The sequence below is a fragment of the Homo sapiens genome, chromosome 3, assembly GCF_000001405.40.
Source record: "Homo sapiens chromosome 3, GRCh38.p14 Primary Assembly".
Taxonomy (NCBI): domain Eukaryota; kingdom Metazoa; phylum Chordata; class Mammalia; order Primates; family Hominidae; genus Homo; species Homo sapiens.
Genome location: NC_000003.12, coordinates 35,369,707 through 35,395,454, shown reverse-complemented (window position 1 = coordinate 35,395,454; position 25,748 = coordinate 35,369,707). Strand labels below are relative to the sequence as shown.

General features: G+C 37.0%; 1 long non-coding RNA gene across 1 annotated transcript in view; it reads left to right on the top strand.

Moving 5' to 3' along the window:
* The first annotated feature begins 1,431 nt into the window (after positions 1 to 1,431).
* LOC101928135 (uncharacterized) overlaps positions 1,432 to 25,748 on the top strand; it is a 518,229-nt gene continuing 493,912 nt past the window's right edge. The window contains exon 1 of the long non-coding RNA NR_110817.1: positions 1,432 to 1,583. This is a non-coding gene — a long non-coding RNA (uncharacterized LOC101928135). The remainder of the gene's footprint in view (positions 1,584 to 25,748) is intronic.

Sequence of the window (25,748 nt, the reverse complement as noted above, 5' to 3'; positions counted from 1 at the left end):
TGCTTTTATTTCATCTTCCCTAATAGTTCCCTTGGCCACTGCTCCTGTAGTTCAGGAAATATTGGTCACCATGATGGTCTACAACTGGTGTTGCATAGTCTGTATCTTAGGGTTTCCTTGTTATCAATTCCTGACCAAAGTGTCTAGATATCACAGTTGTTCTACCCTAATATCCACACCTACCCCCAGCAACATTATCCCTGGGTACCGGGCTTCTGGGATTTTCCCCAGCCTCTAAGTTCCAAATTACTTTCTCAGCCAGATATATTTCCTGTCTGAAACTGTGCTTCTGATCTTAACTTAACTTTGGTTCTGATCTTGCCTTGAAGACTGAGACTTCCCCTTGCTTTCTACCAGCTCTTACCCAGGACAGACATAAATCTCATTTCCTCCTTGCTTTATGTGCCACACTGCAAGCTAAGGCTGTCTCTTCTATATCCAAGATCAGTCTTAAATAACCTATTCTTGGACATAGGTGAGCACTCACAAAATCTATTTGATTCAATTTGATCCAATTCAATTTAATTCAATACAATTCAAGTACTCTGGGCATTTTCTTTAAGATTAGTCCTACATTCAGCACTATTTGTCCATTGACCAAACAGGATAAAAATGCATAATAAGGATAAAATATCACATATCAATATAAATATTCTGTCTTTCTGTTCCTCTCAACTTTAAATAAACTCCACTTATCTATTTTATTTCCCTTCCCCTGGAACAAGCTATCAGGCTTTTTAAGAGTCCTTGTCACATAAATGCAAGTATCTGGTTTGAGGTATCACCAGAGATCTGACAACTGCTTTGGAAACAGAGTAATAGCACGTTTTTCCCATGGGAGCCATGGGCAATTTGATTCATTTCACATATTTGTGAGAGAGTGTGTATGGATGGGGTGTTTGCCTCTAAAATGCAGCTGACAATGAGTATTTGCAAAAATTAAACTGTCTCTATCAGTGCACACCAAATGTCATGTCAAATTTCACCTCTTAAACCTTGCTCCTGCTTTGTGGGCAGTGGATGTAAGAAGTGGCATATGCACATATCCATACCCATCTGCCCACACTCCCAAGCTCACACATTTGGAATTTGCTCACAGGTTGCACGCTGGTAAATACAAGGCACATCTGCCAAATGTCTGCACCAGTGACATCTGATATTCTTGTGCCAGTCACTTCCCCAGAGATGAGATTTACATAGCAACAGACCCAGCAGGGTCCATTAAATTTCTCCTTATCCTTTCCTAGGTGCAGTGAGTGCCTGTTAAGAAACCCCAACGGCTCTGTATGCTTTTCTGAGTCATCACTTGCTCTTTCAGCTGGCTGCCTCACCAGTACTCCCTCATGCTTGGTCTCTCTCTCTCCCTCAGGACTGGTATGCATGGCCACGCATTGTTAAACATTCCACACTCACAATGAGGTTGGTGTGACAGCTGGGGACCAGGCGGAGATCCGTACTGTGGTGGCACTCATGCACCTGTTGTTGGTAGTGAACTTCTGGCTGCCATTCAGTCAGCAGCTGTTAACTACTAAGGTGCCAGGACAAAATGAAATGCAACCAAGAAGTCATGCCCCATCACAAAGGTATGGTCCTAGTCAAATACCTTATACTTAAACTGATATGATTTGGTGTGTCCCCACCCAAATCTCATCTTGAATCGTAGTTCCCATAATCCCCATGTGTTATGGGATTGACCCAGTGGGAGGTAATTAAATCATGGGGGCAGTTACCCCCATGCTGCTCTTCTCATGATAGTGAGTGAGTTCTCATGAGATCTAATGATTTTATAAGGGGCTTTTCCCTCTTTGATTGGTACTTCTCTCTCCTGCTGCCATGTGAAGAAGGACATGTTTGCTTCCCCTTCTTCCATGATTGCAAGTTTTCTGAGGCCTCCCCAGCCATGGAGAACTATGAGTTAATTAAATCTATTTCCTTTATAAATTGCCCACTCTTAGGCAGTTCTTTATTCCAGCATGAAAATGGGCTAATACAGTAAATTGGCACCACAGAAAGTGGAGTGCTGCTACAAGGATACCTGAAAATGTGGAAGCAACTTTGTAACTGGGTCACAGGCAGAGGTTGGAACGGTTTGGAGGGCTCAGAAAAAGGCAGGAAAATGTGGGAAAGTTTGGAACTGATGCAGGATTTTTTGCTTCTTAGTTCAACTAAATCTGGGTTCTTGTCTCACAACCAGGAAAAATTAGGCATGAGAACACGTTGCAGGGTGAGAAGGGTGAAATTCATTAAGTGAAAGGGGAGCTCTTAGCAAAGAGAGGGTTCCTGCCAGCCAACTCCCACCTCACAGATTGAATACCAGGCTACCACACTGAGCTGAGCTGAGCTCAGGAGGCCAAGCTGAGGAGCTGAGGAGGCCAAGCTCTTCTCCTGCATAAGACATGGATTCCTGGTGGCCCCACCCCATTCCCACAGTGCATGTGGGCCTCCAGTTAATTGTGGGGATGCCCAGGCAAGCCCCCTGTGCAGGTTCCTTTAGCTGCACAAAATCATCTGGTATAAACACTTGTGGGGCAGGTCAGAGATTCTCTGGGGACCCTTCCTTGTCTGCCCCCTGCCTCTACCAGAACTTCCCAGAGACTTGTTGTATGGCTTTGACCAAAATGCTGATAGTGTTATGGACAATGAAGTCCAGGCTGAGATGGGCTCAGATGGAGATGAGGAACTCATTGGGAACTAATGTAAAGGTCACTCTTGCTATGCTTTAGCAAAAAGACTGGCAGCTTTTTGCCCCTGCCCTAGAGATCTGTGAAACTTTGAACTTGAGAGATGATTTAGTATCTGGCAAAAGAAATTTCTAAGAAGCAAAGCATTTAAGAAGTGACACAGCATAAAAGTTTTGAAAATTTGCAGCCTGACAATGCAGTAGAAAATAAAATCCCATTTTCTGGAGAGGAATTCAAACATGCTGCAGAAATTTGCATAAGGAACAAGGAGCCAAATGCTAATCGACAAGACAATGGGGAAAATATCTCCAGGACATCTCAGAGACCTTCATGGCAGCCCCTCCCATCACAGGCCCGGAGGCCTAGGAGGGAAAAATGGTTTCCAGGACCAGGTCCAGGGGCTCCCTGCTGTGTGCAGCCTAGGGACTTAGTGCTTTGTGCTTAGCAACTCCAGCCATGGCTAAAAGGGGCCTAAGTACAGCTCAGGCCGTGGCTTCAAAAGGTGTAAGCATCAAGCCTTGGCAACTTCCACGTGGTGTTGAGCCTGCAGGTGCACAAAAGTCAAGAATTGAGGTTTGGGAGCCTCTGCCTAGATTTCAGAGGATGTATGGAAACTCCTGGATGTCCAGGCAGAGGTGTGCTGCAGATGCACAGCCCTCATGGAGAACCTCTGATGGGGGAGTGGAGAAGGGAAATCTGAGGTTGGAGCCCTTACACAGAGTCTGCACTGGGGCATGGCCTAGTGGAGTTGTGAAAAAAGGGTTGCCATCTTTCAGATCCCAGACTGGTAGGTCCATTGACAGCTTGCACCACATGCCTGGAAAAGCTGCTAACACTCAATGCCAGCCTGTGAAAGCAGCCAGGAAGAGGGCTGTACCCTGCAAAACAACAGGACTGGAGCTGCCCCAGGCCTTGGGAGCCCACTCTTGCATCAGTGTACTAGGATGTGAGATATGGAGTCGAAGGAGATCATTTTGGAACTTTAAGGTTTAATAATTGCCCTATTGGATTTCAAACTTGCATGGGGCCTGTAGCCCCATTTTTGGACAATTTCTCCCATTTGTGATGGGTTTATTTACCCAATTCCTCTACCCCCGTTGTATCTAGGCAGTAATTAACTTGGTTTTGATTTTACAGGCTCATAGGCAGAAGGGACTTGCCCTGTCTCAGATGAGGCTTGGAACTTGGAGTTTTGAGTTAGTGTTGGAATGAGTTAAGAATTTGGGGGACCGTTGGAAAGGCATGATTGTGTTTTAAAAAGTGAGTACATGAGATATGGGAGGGGTCAGGGACAGAACGATATGGTTTGACTGTGTTACCACCCAAATCTCATCTGGAATTTTAGTTCCCATAATCCGCACCTGTCATGGGAGGGACCTAGTGGGAGGTAATTAAATCATGGGTGCAGTTACCCCCATGCTGCTGTTCTCATGATAATGAGTGAGTCCTCACAAGATCTGGTGGTTTTATAAGGGACTTTTCCCCTCTTTGCTGCCGTGTGAAGAAGGATGTGTTTACTTCCTTTTCCACCATGATTGTAAATTTCCTGAGGCCTCCCAAGCCATGCAGAACTGTGAGTCAATTAAACTTCTTTCTTTTATAAATTACCCAGGATCAGGCACTTCTTTATAGCAACGTGAAAATGGACTACTATATAAACCCTACCATTAAAACTCTTCCCTTGGAGAGTCACTGTTCACCTCAGCCTATTCATGACACTGATAATGTTTGCAATAAAAATCTGTTTAACTTTTTTTGACATGTGTCCTCCAAACATCTTGACCTTGGAACTCCTTACCTTCCACAGATAGCTCCCTAAGTATATGTACATACATAAACACACATACATGTAGCACCCATTAACCAGAATTCTGGGCAAATAATTCTCACTTGCATTTTCCTAAAGCTGGTTTTTCTTGATTACTTGAGAAGCATATATTATAGTAGCTAGAGCTCATGGCCTAGCAGAGTGACCTTCAGCAAGTTTTAAAATAGTGACTATCTTAAAAAGTTGTTGCAAAAGTTCAATATAACAAAAGAGCTAGAAACAACATCAGTTTCCTTGTAAGCAGGTAATGAAAATTAATTATTGTTAATTCGTATGTAGACTATATTTTTGGAAGTCCTAAATTATTCTTGTTAGTCACATTGTTTATTTTTTTCCTACATAGTCAATTTTAAATATTTCTCTTTTTAAAGCTTCTGCCAAAATGATGTTTCTTATCAGTGTTAAGTCTAGGATTTATTTTTTGTCAGCAAGGTAACCAATGCAGTGACCTTCTGCAAACCAGCCATAGATACATCTTGCTCTGACTCCAGCTGAGCTAAGCTGGGCCTAGAGCAGTAGGACCCAGCTCCTGCAGTGGCACCTAAGTTCCTCTTTACTAAACTTGCATGCTTTTGGGAAAATAAAGGAGGGGATATCTAAAGCTCTGGACAACCTTGAGAAGCTCAATTTTTGCTGCCCTGAAGAAAGTGTAAGGATAGATATTTAATGGAGCTGCTGCTGCTGGGTCTGTTGCTCTTGTAAGTCCTTCCTCTGGGGAAGTGAAGGGTACAACAATATCGGATGTCAGATTTTAAAGGAAGGGAATATCTTCATCTCTCCTGAACCACTAATTGAGATTATCCATTGCTTGCTGCCAAAAGAAAGACATAAATAGAAACAAAACTGAAAGTAGACAATAAAGCAAACAAAAATCTGCGAACAATGAAACTAAATCAAATCTTCCCAGTGTAAACTCTGGGCTTAACATGCCTCCTGTTGTGTTTTGATATTTTTGGTGTCATAAAAAAGTAAACAGGATATTTTATTTCCAGGGCCTTATAAAGCCAGATGGTAGGGGCCTTATCTATTCTTTGGATAATTCTGGTATCCTCCATTGGCTTAAGCCAGATTTAGACTCACCTCATACTAGGTAAAAAAAAAAAAAAAAAAAAGTGTTCTAAACATATGAAAATAGAAGCAGAATGGCAAGGCCTGGACTGAGATGAAGCAAGTGGGGCATTTGCATTGTCTGAAAAATTTTAAAGGGTGCCAAAAAACTTAGGAATTGAGATAAACAATATTTTAAAGCAGTATTTTTAAAAAATGAATGCAAAAAATTGATGATGAACAAAATATCAAAATTTTAAATAAAGGCAAGATCAGCATTACTGAATATTTCTTTTACCTTAGACTCTAAGACAGTTAGGCAAAGCACTGTGGGATGGAATTCCAATGTAGGAGTGATAGGAAAAAATTAGGTCAACAGTAAAAATTAATTGACAATTTCCATTAGACTAATGTTTTTCAAGCTGAGAAAATTCTAAGAAGCTATATCTGACAGCAAACATAGTTACTGAGAAAAATGTATAAAGAAACATCTTCCTAATTGTCTTAGCAAGCAAGATCAACATACATACTTTTTGCAAAGCAAAAGGAGACAGTGGGGTAGTGGAAAGGAAGATTTATTAGATACCTGTTGTTACTTTTCATATGATCCTTTAAACTTCAAGATGTCTAGAACTATTTTTATTATCATTTGATTGCTAAGCAAATGGAATTTGGAGAGTAATGCTCAAATTAAAAACTTATATGGCAATAGAGCTAGAATTTAGCTCTAGAATTTGCTCTAAAATCTTTGTTTTTTTTCCTCCACTCTATTTTGTGTGTGCCTTGGCTTTTTTATTTGTAAAGTAGTAATGGCACTAATTCTTACCATTCGTCTTTAGTGCATAATGGTAGTAAATGCACTTTAAGCTACAAATACACAACAGAAATATAAAGTTTGTTTATTTTTTAATTCATTAACTACTTTTTGAGCATCAGGAAGTCAACTATTTTTTATCTGAAATATTGTGGGGTTGGGGAATAAGGAACTGGCCATTTTGATTTTAAGTTTCACAGATTTGCAGGTCTTAAACATTTGAATTGAGTAGCCTCAATTTTCCTTCTATTTCATGTTGGAAACAAAAATGCAGCTGCTTTATTTCTAGGATACACTGCCTTGAATTGATTACGGAGGCAGGTAAGACATCATCTAGGCAATTTTCCAAATTTTTGCTCCTTCTTTGCTGTTAAGAGATTTGGTCCACAGATAAAGATAAATCATCATATCTTAAAAGTTTCCCCCACCATTTTTCCTTTTTATTCTTCACTTTACCAATACAACAGAATTTCTGCAGTAGGGTGACTGTCAATATTCCCTGGAGTGTCTCTTGAGTGAGTAGACAGACCTTGCTTTAGACTTCATGACAGCTGGAAATGGGTTCTGTGTTTCAGATGATGATCACTGGCTTTTCTGAGTTGGTGATAAGTTCATATACATAACAGGATTCTGAGGAATGGTGCTTCAGTTGGATAATTTGCTTATATTTAAAGAACTTGTGACAGCATATTTGAAGTACAGTCTTTTATAATGAATATCTCTGGTAGGTAGTTTATTATTTATGAATCTAATCACTTAAAATTTCATGATAAAAGATTTAGTGCAAGAGAATGTCTAGCATTGCCCAAATTATTACTAATTGGTTGCTAATAGCTGTTACACCGGTTATGTGTATAATTATGTAAAATTATACTGATGGCCTCAGGTGAGCCACTCTTTGGGAATGGAGATATACTTGAGCAAGCAGAAACAAACTCAGAATGCTCAGACAGGTTCTTTTAAATATGTTATCTCCCTTGACCCAAACTCTTTCAGTTGAAGAGGAGAGTTCCTATGAAGGTCTAACTTTTGATGTTGTTTTGGAAATATATCTTAATAGGAAGAAGTATAGCAAACTTAGTAAATAGTTAAAAGTGTGGGCATCAACATCAGATACCCTGGCTGTACATTTTCACTTCTTTACTTTCAAGAACATCTACTGTAACTTTGGACAAGCAATTTTACCTCGGTGATACTTGCTGACCTCACATAAAAAATACAGTTGGCTGAGTGTGGTGGCTCACGCCTGTAATCCCAGCACTTTGGGAGCCAAGGCAGGCTGATCACGAGGTCAGGAGATCGAGACCATCCTGGCTAACACGGTGAAACCCCGTCTCTACTAAAAATACAAAAAATTAGCCAGCCGTGGTGGCGGGTGCCTGTAGTCCCAGCTACTTGGGAGGCTGAGGCAGGAGAATGGCGTGAACCTGGGAGGCGGGGTTTTCAGTGAGCCAAGATTGCACCACTGCGCTCCAGCCTGGGTGACAGAGTGAGACTCGATCTCAAAAACAAAAAAAAAGAAAAAAGAAAACAGAAAAAAATACAGTTATGATATGTAATTAATAGTGTTGTTGAGAGAACAAATGAGATCATATATATGTGATGGAAAAAATATTAATAAAGAAATGCTCAGAGATGTTGTCTCCCCACCCCAGTCTACCAGAGAGAATGCTTTCATTGCTAACCCAGCTTTCAAGTCTTAGATTCCTTCTGTATAATCTGTCTCTGCCAGAGAAACCTTTTGTGATGCAGTATAATCCAAAAGAGATTGAGCCTAAGACTCAGGAGGAACATGGGGAGGACTTAGCAAAGAAATGAAGTCAACAGATACAAAAGAAAAAAGAAGTAGGCAAGGAAGGAGAGTGTAGAATGAGAGTCTGCAGAATGTAGGGATGCCAAGAGCTAAGAAAGTAATAAAAGTAGCTACCAGAAGCTTGTATTTGTTTTCTTTGAGGGATTGGAAAAAAGAATTGGGCTTCTTATTTTATTTTATTTCATTTTGGACTGTTCTACTTTGAAACTTTGCATATGACCTTACTAAGGAACCTATTTAGATGCCCTAAATTACATATGATTAGACATGTAAAGTAATTATTATTGAACATGGCTCATAGAAAATCCCAAATAAACAATAACTTTTATAATAATAATAATATAATGATGATGGTTGTATCTGGAGTAAAATTCCAGCAAAAGCTTCATTGAATAGGCATGTCTTATGAACATATCATTAGAGAGACTTGTATAATTGGAGCACTTAGAAAAAAATGGATATTTTGTCATCCCTTCCGTATGTGGATCACCTCAGAAAATATATTTCATTAGAAAAAATATTGGAGGAGCTTTCCATTCCTAATGAGATAAAAAATTAACATGAGCTACTGGCCTCTCCCTCAAAATGAACCCTGGAGAAATTAGAAAAATAAAGGAATGAGAGACGTTTTGGGAAATGTGAGGCAATTATCATGCCTTGGTTTATGTGTGTGTGTGTAGACGTGTGTGAGTGTATGTATGCGTGTGTGTGTGTGTGTGTGTGCGTGTGTGGTGTGATGGAATGGTCTGCGGACTTAAGGCAATTGAGGAGCTAGACATTTAAGAGTCTATTTCTTGACCACTTCTCACAGAAATTGCAAGGGCCATGCTGTTGGTATTGAGTGGTCAATATGAAAGCAGCACAAAATAACTGCTAGGATGAGGGTTGATGAAAACAATTCTTTAGTATTTACTACTTGAGTCCCTTTCCTCCAAATCTCATGGGTGGTGGATTAGAACTATGAAACATACCTCTTTATGATATTCTTTATTTTTCTCTAAAAGTTTAAAGGTGATCTCCTGACTGACAGAGTTGCCTTTGAGAGTGGCAGAGAGAGGAACATACAAAGTCATTCTGTGGAGTCTTGGACCTATTTCTTGCCCTCAGTTAGGATGCGGACCAAGGCCAGATCTTTGACCTATTACATTGTACATTATCATAGAACTGGCACCCCAGACCAATATGACTAGACACTTGAAGCTTATAAATACTTTACAAAAAAAGAAAACTTTAAATATATGGCTATTTAAAATAAATACAACAAATATAATTTTAAAAGGGGAGATATTGGCAATATGAAGTTAGGAAGTTTTAAATTAATACAACTAGAAGTATTTTGGTATCAAATACTTAGTATATAAAATAAAATGTTCAATAGATGATATAATTACCAGAAAGAACACCACTGAAACATGGATTGGTAAGGTGAAAGATGTGATGAAAGAATTATTTTAGAAGATAGCAGAACATGATAAAAATCAAACATAAAAGGTAGGAATTGTTGCAGTAGAAGTGGCAACAACTGATGACTAAGTTCCAGAGAAGTCAAAAATGGAGGATTGGTGTCAGTGATTTGTTACAACCAGTAAAACATGGCAGAAGTAGCACTTCTTGTATCTTCTGATGCTAAGTCAACAGAAGTCTTGCAGGTTCTATCTTGATCTCTTTGAATGCCTGTGCTCTAGATGTTCCCTCTCAAAAACCAGTCACCATCTGAGAGAGATATTCAAACCTCATTTAAGAGCTCTGGTCAATTGTTCCAGTTGATCTCAACCTTTCAGCAATCTTCTTGTGGTAGCAGATCTCTCAGCCACAAATCTGTCAGCCTCCAGCTGTTGGTCACTGTCAGCTGATCTCATCAACCCAGTTAAGTCTCCAGACATTATGAAGTGGAGAAGAACCATCTTCATTGTACCCCTCTTGAATTTCTAATATGTAGAATCTATGAGCATAAAATTTTGAATTGGTTGTCTTTGTTTTTGCCACTATGTTTTAAGACTATTTATTATGCTATAGGTAACTGGAACATTTAATGTGTTCTTTATCAAGAGGTACTTTTTGCTATAATATAAAGAAACTCAAGTAGGCCCAATTTATGTCTTTCATATATTCATTCATTCACTCGTTCTTCAAATATTTGTTAATCATCCATCATTTATCAAGTGCTATTCAAAGTAATGAGGATACAATAGCGTGTAAGACAGACACAATAGCTGAACTCATGAAAATTACAGCTTTCTTCTGAATTCTTGGAGGAACAGAACTTGTACTCAAGTTAAAGCCATACATCCAGGCACAAAGAAACAAGTATTTATAGTTAATACAACATTTCATGCCATATAGTCATAGATCAAGTAAATTAAATCATGAATGAAGGAATAAAATATATGAATATTGAAGTGCCTGTATACTAAAGCTTCTGTGAATATATACACACACAAATATATAGCCTTCTTTAATATGTATATCATATACAATGAGTTAAATATTTTATTTGAATTATGACAAAGCCTTTGATCAAGAGCAAATGATTCTATCTAGAATAGTACTAATGAAGATGATTTTTGTTTCTCAAACAGCATGATCAAGATCAGCCATGAACTCTGGAAGAAAATTCTGTAAAACTACTGAGATTCAAAGCATTCTGGAGCTGACATTAACCTTTGAGCTTGCTGACTCCAACCCCCTTATTTTACAGCTGGAGCAACTGAGCTCCAGCAGGCAGTGAACCAGATGGGTCATGGTATCAGCAGTGGTGCAGAGCAAGCTAAACTCTGTGAGGTCGGCTGAGGTCCTCTGTAACCCAGAGGGATCCTGGCATGAATTTTAAATCCTCTCCTCAATTCTGGCATCAGTTCTAGTATCCATATGTCCGTGCATACATAGAAGCTGAGGCAGAGAAACTCATGAGAATTGCCAAGGCCCTAGAATCCTGAAAACAGTTGCTAATATCCTGTTGCCATGACAACCCACTCAGGAAAGAGCCTAGGTGCCAGACTTAGATTTTTTTTTTCTGGGTCCCAGAGGAGTACCAGAGTGAGTTGATAACTCTTTTATTGCTACCTGGAGAGAAGCCTTTCCTGCCCTGTGTCTCTTCCAATGGCAGATCAACACTCCAGGGATGGTAACTGATGCAACTGTGGTTGGTTTCGTTTCTTTTAGAGACAAAGGTCTCCGATGATTATTGTGCCATGAAAAATAAGGGACTTGTACAAGCTAACATGTCTATGAAAACATGTGATTTCTTTAGTCCCAACTACCTCCGCATTTGTGAGGCTCCTTGCTTTATTTTCCCCTACTTGTTTTTCACCAATGCATCTGCTCCTTCCTGCAGAGGAAATGTTTGTACCGTTCAAATGGTTGGACTATGAGTCACAGATTAAACAGGAGGGACTTTTCTGAATGATGCTGAGCAAGGCCTTAATTAAAAGGAAGGAAGAAATTCTGGTGAGTGGGAGCAAGGTTGTGTTGTTCAGAGCCATGCAAAGTGCCAGCCTCTCCCTAGGTAACCACTCGCCTTCTGGCATGAAATCATCCAAATTTAGGATACGTAAAATGCATAGGATCTGTAAATTCTCAGAACTGCATCATGATGCCTGCAGAACCTGTGTACCTGAATGTTGGAACAAGATAATGATTACTAACTCTCACTTGCTTCCTATATGTCAGACATTATTCTAAGCATTTTTATATTCTAACTCACTAAATCATCACAATAATTTAATAAAGTTGGTACTAGAGAAGTAAAGTGTCCTTCTCATGGACACCCAGCTAAATCAGTGGCAGTGCCAGCACGTGAATTCAGGAAGCCTACACTCTGACCCATCATGCCAACCCACTTCTACTGATGTATGACTGTCTGGCTGGCTGATGCTAGATGGCATCATATGCCTTCATCATGACTCGTTGAATAGGCCACTACTTTCACATTCTTCTGCTCTATCCAAAATGCATTTGGCCATTATCTCCTTCTTTTCATATTCTACACTGCTGCCTTAGTTAAGATACTAATTCTTATTTATTTAACTTATTAATTAATTAATTTATTTATTTTTCTTGAGACAGAGTCTTGCTTTGTCACCCAGGCTAGAGTGCAGTGGCACAATCTCAGCTCATTGCAGCCCCTGCCTCCCGGTTCAAGTGATTCTCCTGCCTCAGCCTACCAAGTAGCTAGGATTACAGGGGCATGCCACCAGGCCTGGCTAATTTTTGTATTTTTAGTAGAGACAGGATTTCACCATGCTGGCAAGGCTGGTGTTGAACTCCTGACCTCAAGTGATCCTCACTCACTGGCCTCCCAAAATGGTGGGATTACAGGTGTGAGCTACTGCACCTGGCCCTAATTCTTTCTTGACTGGGAAATTCAGCATCCACATATTGTATCTCCTTGCTTCCCATGTTGGTTTTGTTCAATCCATTCTCCACATTGCAACCAAGTGATTCTTCTAAAATGTATCTAAGATCTTTTTTAACTCTTTTTTTTTTTTTTTTTTTTTTTTTTTTTTTTTGAGACGGAGTCTTGCTCTGTCGCCCAGGCTGGAGTGCAGTGGCGCAATCTCGGCTCACTGCAAGCTCCGCCTCCCGGGTTCACGCCATTCTCCTGCCTCAGCCTCCCGAGTAGCTGGGACTACAGGCGCCTGCCACCATGCCCGGCTAATTTTTTTGTATTTTTAGTAGAGACGGGGTTTCACCATGTTGGCCAGGATGGTCTCGATCTCCTGACCTTGTGATCGGCCCGCCTCAGCCTCCCAAAGTGGTGGGATTATAGGCTTGAGCCACCGCGCCCGGCCCTTTTTCACTCTTATTTTAAAATCTTGCAATGATTTGTTTTGTCTTCCTGTTGGTTCTCAAATATTTAGCAAGCTATCCCTGTGTCTTAAGCACACTGCTGCCACAGTTAGGTTTTTCTCTATTGTAATTGTCTATTTGGTCTAGCTTAATTGTGCCCTAATCCAAGACAGAGCTTATGATTTTATCATTTTCTCCACTCCCTAAAACACCTTTTTGCATCTGGTAAATGTGAAATAAGGCAAAGAAAGTTGAGTTAATAGTTATTGAACTAAGATGAATAGTTAGGCCTTGGTCTCCATATTAAGAAGCTGCCATGATATACTGCTGTTGTAGCTTCCCCTATATGTGAAATTACCATTATAAAGCATGTATTCATCTCACAGAAAAATTAAAGAATATGAATCTGACAGACACAGTTAGTATATAGTACTCTGGAGATAAAATTTTCTGAATCACAAAACAAATTGCTTTCAGTCTCAATCCAGAAATCATCGTCAGAAGTATGTTTTTGTTTTTGAAAATTAATATCTGCCTTTTCTTTAAGTACCCAAAGCCATGCTAATTCTACTGGGTGAGCATTGGTCTCATCGCTTTTAATGCACATGATCCATTAATGTCATGTGTCATAATACACCTTGTTAGGGAATATTGTTTTATAGTCTCAGTCATAATCAGCCATATTTGTCGATCATACACAGTGTTGAGAACAATGTATTAGAAAGTTTAGTGCAGAATGCACAGGAAATGCCCCAGTGTCCTGAGGAGAATTTCCTCAGTTCAGTTGATGGTACTTTCTTTCATCTAGCCATGTAATCTATCAACCTTGGGTCTGTCTTCCTCTCCCTCAGCTTCCACATTCAATAGCTTAAATAGCTGTTGAATCCATCCCCTCATCTCCACTGCTACTACTTCTGCCCTAGGCTTTGTCATCTCCTAGTGGAAACTGGAGTATCTTCCTCATTAGTTTCCCTGTCTCCTGTCTTACTTCTTCAAAATGCCTTAATAGTATTTTATCAAGAAAGCAAAACTTATCATGTCATTTCCTTATTTAAAACTCTGGACACTCTTCATAATCCAAGTTCTGCAGCCTAGAATATAAAATCTCATATTATTTGGCTAACAGTTAAATTTACTGGGTGGCAGGCACTGTTCTAAGTGCTTTAGTTCTCTTGTTGGCTTCTAAGGGTCTCCATGTCTCCCCAGGAGACACTCCTAAGAGGGAAGTGCTATTTTATCACTGCCTTACTTTCAACTTCAAAAACTTTGTATTCTCACTACATGTTGTACATATGTGAGGTACCTTATACTTCAAGAGATTTTGTGCATGTTATTTTCTCTGCTTGATATGACTTCTATTTCCTTCCCATCTCATTGTCTTAACTGGTTGTTCATCCTTTAAAACTAGTTACAGGCATATCAAAAATTACAGTCTCCAAAAAAAGCCTGTTTTAACCTCATCCATGTAGCCAGGCAAGGAGCCCATGTTCTATGTTTCCATAAAACTTTATATAAAATCTGAACATGATGTCTGTCATGATGAAATCCTCTTGTCTTTTTATGGACATATAATTGATCTAAGTCCCCAAGGACAGAGGCTATGTTTGATTCTGTACCGATCTTTGAATCCTTCTTACTTCCAGTGGATGTTCAATAAGTACCTATTGAATAGAATAAGTACTTCCCTGTATATTCATGTAAAATAATATTTATATATTCTTTTATGACCAACCTTTAGTTTATGAGTGACCATTAGGGATTATAAAATGGGCTTTACTCTCGCAGTTTCATATTTCTAATAAAGTTATGATGTTAGATATAGATATACTGTGGAAACAACAAGGGAAGAAAGAATAAGAAACCAGGAAAAAAATCAGAGAAAATTAGATATAATCTGAGCACAGGTGATAGCTGAAAACATGAGCAGTGAGATAATTGAGGGACAGAATTTTAAGAAAGAAACTAAAGAGCCCTAAATAATACCTGGTTAGTGAGCCTGCTAGAAAGGGGATCAGCAAAGGAAAAGTGTTTATTTGTTGGCAAAAGCTCCAGGGACAAGTCAGCTCTTTATTGAGTTTGAACATAAGGAGAAGTACCCAAGAATGTAAGGCTTTCATCACATTTGTTTCATCTGTCACTTTATTTACTTTCTCTTGAGAATTTAAATGGAGAGAGATCTGAGCGAATTTGAAATTTGTTATTTTGTAATGTTAAGTCCAAAGCTTCTAAATAGTTTTGAGAAATCATAAGGTCTGTTAGAGATTTATTTAGCACATTTTAAAATGTGCCTGTTTCTTACATTTAAAGTCCCCCTTCTGTTTTCTACACATTACCAGCTACATTTGACCTTCAAATAGAAAAAGAAAATTATGACTGATACTTACAGTAGTTAAGAGATTTCTATATGACAAGAAGTAATGCTGGACATTTTATATAGATGACCTTATCTAGTCCCCCAACTTTATCAGTGAGGACTTATTTAATCAGCAAACTATGTATTGAGCACCTATTATGTGCAGACACTCTCTAGCTGCTGAGAATACACAATAAGAAAAATAGATTCCAATTTTTGACCACATGAAGCTTATATTCTCATGGGGGAAAATAGACCATGAACAAAATAAATTAGTATAATATAACATATAGTATATTAGAATATTGGCAAAAATAATGAGGGGAAGTGGGATTGAAATTTCTTGGGGCAATGTTTCATTTCAAGTAGAATGATCAGAGAAGGCCTTGTTGACAAGATGACTTTATTAGAGGCTTTGATAGTGAGGATGTATGTGGGAAGAAAATTCACAGCAGATGGAACAGCAAGAACAAAAGCTCTTCTAATTTAGGCTTTGAAAAGCAGTATGGAAGCCAATGTGTCTGCAGTGTGATCTATACTCTCTAGAGGGTGGAGAGTATGAAGAAATAAAGTTGGAGACAAAAAAGGGAGAGAAGGTGAGCCAGGGAGGTGAGAAGGATCGTGGGGAGACTTAGAGGGCCTTAGAAGAAATTGTTCCTTTTCCCTGAGTGAGACAGGAAGGCTTTGACAGGTTCTGAGCAGAGATATGACCAGATTTGAGTGACATTATAGCAGGATCAGCACAGGAAACAAGTGGTACCCAGGGAAGAAGCAGGCAGGAGTTTGAAGAAGTGATATTTTTTCTGGAACAAAATGTGTCAGTTGTGATGTGACTATGAACTTCCTGCTAATGGATATGTAATTTTGAGGCCAGTATGCTCGCAATATCCTACGCCCCGGCACCACTGATTACAATGGACTCCACTTGTTGCAAATAGACCATCACACACTAAATTCTCTTTTATTCCTTTTTCATTAGACAACTGCAATAAAATTACTTCTATTGCCTCTGTTACTTTTTTTTATGATGTCAAACCAATGTCTTACATTATTAAAGAACTTAAAATACAAAGTTTCATTCTGTGGACAGATCTTCAATTGCTATTTATTACTGCAAAGAAAGTACATCATTATTACTGGTAATGTAATATAGTCATAAGCCTGAGGCGACTTTGGTCAAGTTGACATTAAAATATGCCCTACTAATGTCAGTCATATTTGCTTACTGATACATTAATAGTTAAATATTATTACTGTGAATATTCACTTGGCATCAAAATAATCACAAATGCCAATCAAACACAGTCATTGAAGTTATGAGATAATCTCTGCTAATTGGTTGATCAAACAGATGATCCAGTATATGCCTTTATATCTTTGTAAATTAAATTCCATCTATAATACAAAATTAAATAATAATCTCAGTTAATAATATAATAAATATCTCAGTGGTCCTTTTAATAATAAAAAAATGGTCATTGCTTTTTACCTCTCAAGAAGAGGTTGATATATTAGTCATCTATTACTACAGTGATGCTATGTAACGAACTACCTTCCAACTCAAGAACTTAAAGTATAATAAAAAAAAAAAAGAAGGAAAAGACATAGCCCCTCTTCATTCCTGGAGCTGTTGCAGCTGTGAGTCTACTGATGAAGACAAGACTTAGCAACCTTGTCTCTTCTTTGAATTGGAGGCCTTTGAGTTAGCTGGGGGATAAAGACACTGTTCCATGTGTCTTTATCTTCCTTGAACCAGTGGGATAGCCAGGGCACCTTCTTCTCAGAGCAATGGCAGAGGTGCAGAAGAGCCTGGACAACCTCAAAAGTATATTTCCAGCAGGCATGTGCCACAGCTGGCTTTATTTACTCGTAAGACCTGATTGTTAAATGTTCAGCATTTTCTGAGGTGGTTATTAAACACAGCCATTATTAAAATTTAAATTACATAAAGGTATAGATAAACACATTATATTAAAAAAGAAAATAATAAACATTAAAAACTCACCACTTCCTAATTATTTTCTACATTATTTTAATCTGGGATCTTGAGGTCATTTACATCTAGTATGTCTATACAGTAGAGATATTATAACATGATATGTTACTGTGCATCTCTTTCCATCTCCACATTTACTAATGTCTCATTGTTAACATGAAGTTGGCCGTGGTGAAAGTATTTATACCATGAATATCATCAAATGTGAGAAATCAGGAACTTCCTCATCTTGTTTAACTGATTCTCAAACCAAGCTCTTTAGTAACTGGAGAGCCAGTTGTTACACATTTTTAAGCACACCATTCATTTTGAGCCTTTGCTCACATCAGTTCTCCAAATATCCTATCGATCAAAATCAAACAATGGTGAAATACACTCTACCTTTAGTGAAAGACACTGCAATATTACAAGACAAGGTGAATCTACAGGGAGGGCTGAAGAATTGAGGCTAATAATTCAATCTACCATAGTTGGGAAAAGATACAAAAGGCATATATAAATAGGGAAATCAGTGTTTTATGTATGTGAATGAATTAGTATATATTACTTTGATTTTTCTCAAAAGCAACATTTTTTTCTTCATTATTTCAAACATTTCTCAAAGGAAAACAAATAATTTAAAGTGACGATTTGAATTACAAAATAGATTATCTGTTTGTATTTATAAAGTGTTCATTAATTATGATGATAGACAATTCAAACAGGCTAGAATGAGTTTCTTGGTCATAATTCCTAAGTTCTAACAAGCACAATTCATAGTAAAAAATTATTCCATTTTGAATGTATCATATTATCCCCAATCCATGATTTTTTCAAAGTACTAAAAAGCTGACATGGGCTATATGAGAGAACATTAAAATTTAACATTAAGAATGTTGGTTAATAGTCTTACTTTCCTTGTGTGCAGATTTGTCTGTTCACTCCCAGCTGCATTGAAAATGTTTTCTGAACAAAGGGAGGAGGAGGACACCTTAACGATTGCAGTGGAAGTCAAGGAAAACCATAATTTAAATTTCAGAATATAAATGCCCCACGGAGGCCTTCTTCCCCTGCTGCCTGGAACTTTGATTGGCATTTCAATAGAATTCTACCAAATTGGAGGTTGGTCCCAGGAAACTCATCCTCGTGGTTACCAATGACTCTAATTCCAGGCATCTGATCTGGGCAAATAATATTTATGAGAACAGGACATTTAAAAAGTCGAGACAACTATGAAAGCCAATGAGAGTCAGAAAACCAACATAAGAAGGAGAATAAGGACGTGGGTAGTAAGGATTTGTGGGTGCTTCCTTCTGGAAAACAGATGTATTTCTAGTTAAAGTTAATTCTGCTTTTCTAATTGTTGATAAACTGGCAAACAGCAATTATTTGTGTATTTGTGTGGGCGTGTGTGTGTGTGTGTATCATATGTTTTTTCACTCTCACTCAAAAACCCATCTTCTCCAGAAAGGATTATCTTCTATAATCTTATAAATTTAAAGCACTATAAAAATTGGATTATTTTGGATATAAAATTTCTAGAATTCTTGAGTATAAAATTTTATTTTGGATGTTAAATTGTAAAACCTGGACTCCTCTCTTAAAATCAGGGAAAAAAAGGAAAAAGAAATTGAGGTACCTCAAATTAATTATCAACTTCTCCCTCTCTAAATATAATAAAATTCTAAATCACCTTTTTTCTCTTTTCTCCAATTTTCAAAGCTTGTAGCAGGAGAATGAAAATTATACTTTATCTATTCTATTAGCTTATAACCTTACCATCCAATCAAACTTCCATTCTGGTCCAGAACTGTCCTTTCTTCCTTCTTACCGTTCTTTTCCCTCCCTCCCTCCGGCCCTCCTTCTTTCCCTCCCTCCCTCCCTCCCTCCCTCCCTCCCTCCCTTCCTTCCTTCCTTCCTTCCTTCCTCCCTCCCTCCCTCCCTTCCTTCCTCATTCCCTGCTTCTTCTTATTTTTTCCTTCCTCCTTTCCTTCGGTTTGGCTCTTAATCATTTTTATGAAGATAAAGTAATGTGTGGTTTTATAAATATGAATATATATACAGGAAGATATAAGAAATTACAAGGATATAGCTGCTATGAGAAGTCCAGTGTACATGGTGAGAAAAAGAAATCTAACATTTCCCCCCAAGAGACTAGCCAATTGTATTAATAGACAAATGTATTTGAATCTGTTCTGATTTCAATAATTTAAAGTGTGAAATTTAGCACATAGACCATTTCCAGTTATTTACGAGTTTTTCTCTATTGGGCTTCTAACATTTACTCATTTTTTCTCATGCCAATATTACATAGGACTAATTATTATAGCTTTAGTATAATTCTTTTTTTCCTTGCAGGTACAAATATTCCATCCTTATAATATTCTGAACATTTTCTTGAGTTTTTCCTTTACTTTTTTGGCAGATAAATGTTATATCCATACCAAAAATCTTTAAACATTATTTTAAGATTTAAAACATAATTAATTTGGCAGAATTGATATGTTTATAATTTTGCATTTTACCAGCTCATAATGTATATGTAAAATTTCATTTCAATCTTATTTTATGCCTCTTCAGTAAAGTTTCACAGTTGTTTTCTCTTGTGGCTTTCATTAAAATATGGAATTTCCTATTCTCACAGTAAAAACTAACTTTCCAAATGATGATTTTTAAAAACCACCAATTATATTCTCATCAGATCTCAGATGATCATATCGCCACTTTTTCTAAAAACACTTTATTTTGTTATTGTAGGAAATTATATTAGGGCTGTGATTCTTACTCGGAATTTCTGCTAGAGCTGTTAGAAAAGAGAAATTGTCATTCTGCTAGAGTTGCTAAACTAATAGGATAGTGATCTAGAAATGTTAGCTACCATTTGCCAACATATCCAAGACAATATTTGAGGGAAAAGACCACACAATATAAACGATAATTTAAAGCTGAAGAGACAAAGATTGAGGACATAATTTGTAGAACTTGAACTAATTCATGCCTAAACTTAATCTACCTAGTGGAATTCTCAATATGATGAATCAAAAATCTTTTATTTTTTTAAGTGATTGCCAGGTGCCACTGAAAGAGACATGCATATAGTGTTTTGTGTTCAATTTTTAGATATTTAAAAATAATCATTGTAAAGATAAAACAGGAGCAGATACTTTCCATTTTGCAAGAGCATAGACACAAAACTCATAGGGATGATTTACATTAAAACTCTTGCAGTTTGCCTAGTATTTTCTTTCTGGTTACTTCTGCTACATTTTATGTCACTGGTGATGGTCTTTTAAACTTTCAATAAATGGGTACTTGAGAATTCTACTTTTCATGTCTGTTTATTATTTTTTTGCATCATGGTCAGTGGCATGACCACTATGATTACTGCTCTTTGTTTGTGAACTTTTATTCTGCATCTTTACATGATATCGTATCACATGCCTTTAATTTCTTAAGCACATTGGTAACAATTAACAGGCCATATTTATTGGATTCACAAATTCTTTCCTTTCTTCATCCCTTCTTTGTTCCTTCCACTCTTAGTATAAAATAAGACTTCAAAAAGTTCAAATTTTCTCCACCTTTGCTTGATATTTTCTTTTCTTACCTACCAACTTCTGAGAGAAGAATGTGAAATGTCTCTATTATTATTATTATTACAGTTTTTGCTTTTTCAATATAAAACATATGTTGCTAGGAACTTGAATATTAAGATGAAATATTTCTCATTGTATCCTTTATCCTACTTACCTCAAATCAATTTTTTCTAATGTTAACATTGCCTCAGTCTTTTCTGTTTATCATTTCCTTGGTACAGTGTGTGCGTGTGTGTGTGCGCGCGCTGTGTTATAAAATCATGCCTGAGTACAAAATCCTTTAAAATGCCAAAGAGACAAATTAGTTTTAATGAAACAGTATGAAAAGTTCACTAATATAATTTCACATTCTTTATTACAGCTAACATTTAAGAAATGACCACTTTTTCTTTTTTTTTTTTCTTCTTTTTGTTTTTTAAAGGATCTCGCTTTGTTGTGTAGGATAGAGGGTAGTAGCCTAATCATAAGTCACTGCAAACTCAAACTCCTGGGTGAAGCAACCCTCCTGCCTCAGCCTCCTGAATAGCTGTGACTACAGTTGTACATCATCACACCTAGCTACAAAATAACCACTTTTGAAAATGTGTTAGAGTATCAAAAAAGAATACTCATATTTACCTAAGAAGGCTGAAAATCCTCCACCTTTTTCCAACCACATATATGTGTGCAGTGAGCTAAATGGTATGTGCCCCCAAACTTATACATTTAAATCTTAACGCCCAATGTGATGGTATCAGGAATTGAGGGCATTGGGGAGGTGATTAGATCATGAGAATGAAGCCATAACAAATGGTATTAGTGCCGTATAAAAGAGACCCCAGCTAGGCGCGGTGGCTTACGTGTGTAATCCCAGCACTTTGGAAGGCTGAGGCGGGCGGATCACAAGGTCAGGAGTTCGAGATCAGCTTGCCCAATATGGTGAAATCTCGTCTCTACTAAAAATAGGAAAATTAGCCAGGTGTAGTGGTGCGCGCCTGTAGTCCCAGCTACTCGGGAGGCTGAGGCAGGAGAATCGCTTGAACCCAGGAGGTGGCGGTTGCGATGAGCCAAGATCTCGCCACTGCACTCCAGCCTGGGTGACAGAGCGAGACTCTGTCTCAAAAAAATAATAATAATAAAATAAATAAATAGGTAAATAAAAGAGACCCCAGAGAGCTCCCTCGCCCCTGCCACCATGTGAGTTAATTGTGAGAAGATGGCTACCTATATGAGGAAGTAGAAACTTACCAGACAACTAGCTAGCTGATGCCTTGATCTTGGATTTTCCAGTTTCCAGTATAATGAAAAATAAATTTCTATTATTTACAAGCCACTCAGTGTACAGAATTTCATCATAGCAGTCCGAACAAACTAAGACAATGTGTGAGGCTAATTTTTTTCAGCTTACTTCAACCAAAATTGTGTCATAACAGATTGAATGCAAAAGCAGATAATGAAAAACCAGTTATCTTTTATTAAACCAGAAATTAGGGAATTTACCAAAGGCAAAACTAAACTCTCTTCTCACTAAATTCATTTCAGTTTGGAGAAATACAGTTTTTATAGTTTTTAATGTGTAATTTCTGTTAAAATGTAATGGATTTGTTAAAGCTATTTTAACTTAATTGTTAAATAAATACTTTCAAAATTGTTCAGTTTTAATTTTGAATTCATGAAATATTAATAGATATAACCCATATGAGCAAAAGACCTTTGGGGTTCTCAGTAATTTTTAAAAGTATAAAAGGATTCTGAGAACAAAAACGTGAAAACCTTTGTTTTGGTAAAGTTTCCCTTATTTTATATATTTATTGTGAATATTTTCTTCCAGTTTATGATACGTGTTTTCATTTCCCAAAAGCTGTTAATAAACTAATTTTTAAAAATTAATAAAGCCTAAGAAGCATATATATTTTTTGTAAGTACTTTGTTTATCTTCTCCTATAAATTTTGCCTATCCCTCAGGGCCAAGGGAGTCATGATCTGTCTGAAATTCAGTGTTGTACATTATGTGAAGGTTGAAGTTCATTTTAACTACATGGTTATCCAATACACAGTTGTTCTAGAACCATTTGTTAAAAGACCGTTGAATCCATTAAATTTCCTTGGTGCCTATGTAAAAAAAAATCTGGTGAATATTGATTTTATAATATTTACAGTAGTATAAATATTGAAATACTGTAGTTTTATTGTAAATATTGAAATGTTGATTGATATCTATCAAAAATCATATTGAAATTAGATTTGGGGTTGCTGTGAATCTATAAATCAGTTTGGCAGCTTAATGATATTGAGTCTTCATGAAGATGAACAGTAATTCAGGCTTTCATTTTTTGCTGTGATGTTCCATAGTTTTTGTTGTAAAGGTCTTCAGTATTTTTGTTACCTATATTGCATTTCAAAAAATATTTTTATTTGTTCATGATTTCTCTTACTTCTTTCAGCAGTGTTGTGTAATTCTCATTGTAGAGATTTTTCCCCTCCTTGGTTAGCTGTAATCCTAGGTATTTTATTCATTTTGTGGCTGTTTTGAATGGGATTGCATTCTTCATTTGGCTCTCAGTTTGCATGCCATCGGTGTATAGAAATGCTACTGATTTTTGTACATTGATTTTGTATCCTGAAACCTTACTGAAGTAGTTTATCAGTTCTAGGATCCTTTTGGTGGAGCCTATGGGAAAATCTACATGTAGAACCATGTCATCTGCAAAGAGAGATAGTTTAACTTCCTCTTTTCTTATTTGGATGCCCTTATTTCTTTCTCTTGCTGATGCTCTGGCTAGGACTTTTAGTACTATCTTGAATAAGATTGGTAAGAGTGTGCATCTTTGTCTTGTTCTAGTTCTCAAATGGAATGCTCCAGCTTTGGCCCATTCAATGTGTTCATGTTGGCTATAGGTTTGTCTTAGATGGCTGTTATTATTTTGAAGTATGTTCCTTTGATGACTAATTTGTTTAGAGTTTTTAACATAGAGAGATGTTGAATTTTATTGAAAGCCTTTTATGCATCTGTTGAGATAATCATATGGTTTTTGTTTTTAATTCTGTTTATGTGGTGAATTACATTTATTGATTTGCATATATTGAAACAACCTTGCATCCCAGGAATAAAGCCTATTTGATAATGACAAATTAAGTTTTTGATGCACTGCTAAATTTGATTTGCTAGCATTTTGTTGAGAAATTTTGTGTCTATATTCATCAGGGATATTGGCTTGATGTTTTCTTTTTTTGTGGTGTCTCTGCTACACTTTATTGTCAGAATGATGCTGATTTGTATAACAAATTAGGGAGGAGTGCCTACTCCTCAATTCTTTGGAATAATTTCAGTAAGATTGGTACTAGCTCTTTGTACATTTGATGAAATTTGGCTGTGCATTCATCTGGTTCTGGGCTCTTTTTGGTTGGTAGGCTTTTTACTACTGATTCAATTTTGGAATTGTTATTGATCCATTCAGTATTTCAATTTCTTCCTTGTTCAATTTTGGGAGCTGTCTGTTCCCAGAAATTTGTCCATTTTTTCTAGGTTTTCTACTTTGTATACATAGATGTGTGCACAGTAATCTCTGAGGATTTTTTGTATTTTTATGTGGTCCATTGTAATTTTGCCTTAGTCATTTCTGATTGTGTTTATTTGGATTTTCTTTTTTCTTTATTAATCTAGCTAGCAGTCTACCAATCTTGTTCATTCTTTCAATTAACCAATTTTGGATTTATTGATTTTTTAATAGATTTTCATGTCTCAATTTCATTCAGTTCAGCTCCGATTTTGGTTATTATTTTTCTCCTGTTAGCTTTGGGTTTAGTTGGCTCTTATTTTGTTAGTTCTTCTAGGTGTGACATTAGATTATTAATTTGAGATCTTTCCAACTTTTTGATACAGTCACTTATTGCTTTAAACTTTCCTCTTAACACTGCTTTAGCTCTGTTCCAAATATTCTGGTATATTGTGTCTGTTTTTCTTAGTTTCAAATAATTTTTTGATTCCTACCTTTATTTCATTCTTATCCCGAAGTCATTCAGAAGCAGGTTGTTTAACTTGCATATAATTGTATGGTTTTGAGAGATCTTCTTGGTATTGATTTCTATTTTTATTATGCTAATGCCCAAGAGCGTGGTTGGTATGATTTGGATTTTTTTGAATTTGTTGAGACTTGATTTATAGCTGAGCATATAGCCAATTTTAGAGTATTTGCCATTTGCAGATGAGAATAATGTATGTTCTGTTTTTATTGGTTGGAGTGTTCTCCTAAATGTCTGTTAGGTCCAATTGGTCAAGTGTTGCATTTAAGTGCAGAATATCTTTGTTAGCTTTCTGCCTCAATGATCTGTCTAACATTGTCAGTTGGTTGTTGAAGTCTCCCACTGTTATTGTGTGGTTATCTAAATATCTTCATATATCTCTAATAGTTTTTGTTATGAATCTGGGTGCTCCAACATTGGATGCATATATATTTAAAATAGTTAAGTCTTCTTGTTGAATTGACCCCTTCCTCATTAAGTAATGTCTTCCTTTTTTATCATTGTTGGTTAAAGTCTGTTTTATCTTGTAAAAGAATAGCAACCCCTTCTCCTTTTTATATTTCATTTGCCTGATAGATCTTTCTTCATCCCTTTGTTTTGAGCCTATGGTTGTCATTACATGTGATATGGATCGCCTGAAGATAGCAGTTGGATCTTGCTTCTTTATCCAACTTGCCACTCTATGCCTATTAAGTGGATCATTTAGCCCATTTACATTCAAGGTGATTATTGATATGTGAGTATTTAATCCTGTGATCATATTATTAGCTGATTGCTATGTAGATTTCATTGTACAGTTGCTTTATATTGTCATTGGCTAAGTATTTAAGGGTGTTTTGTGGTGGTGGTTA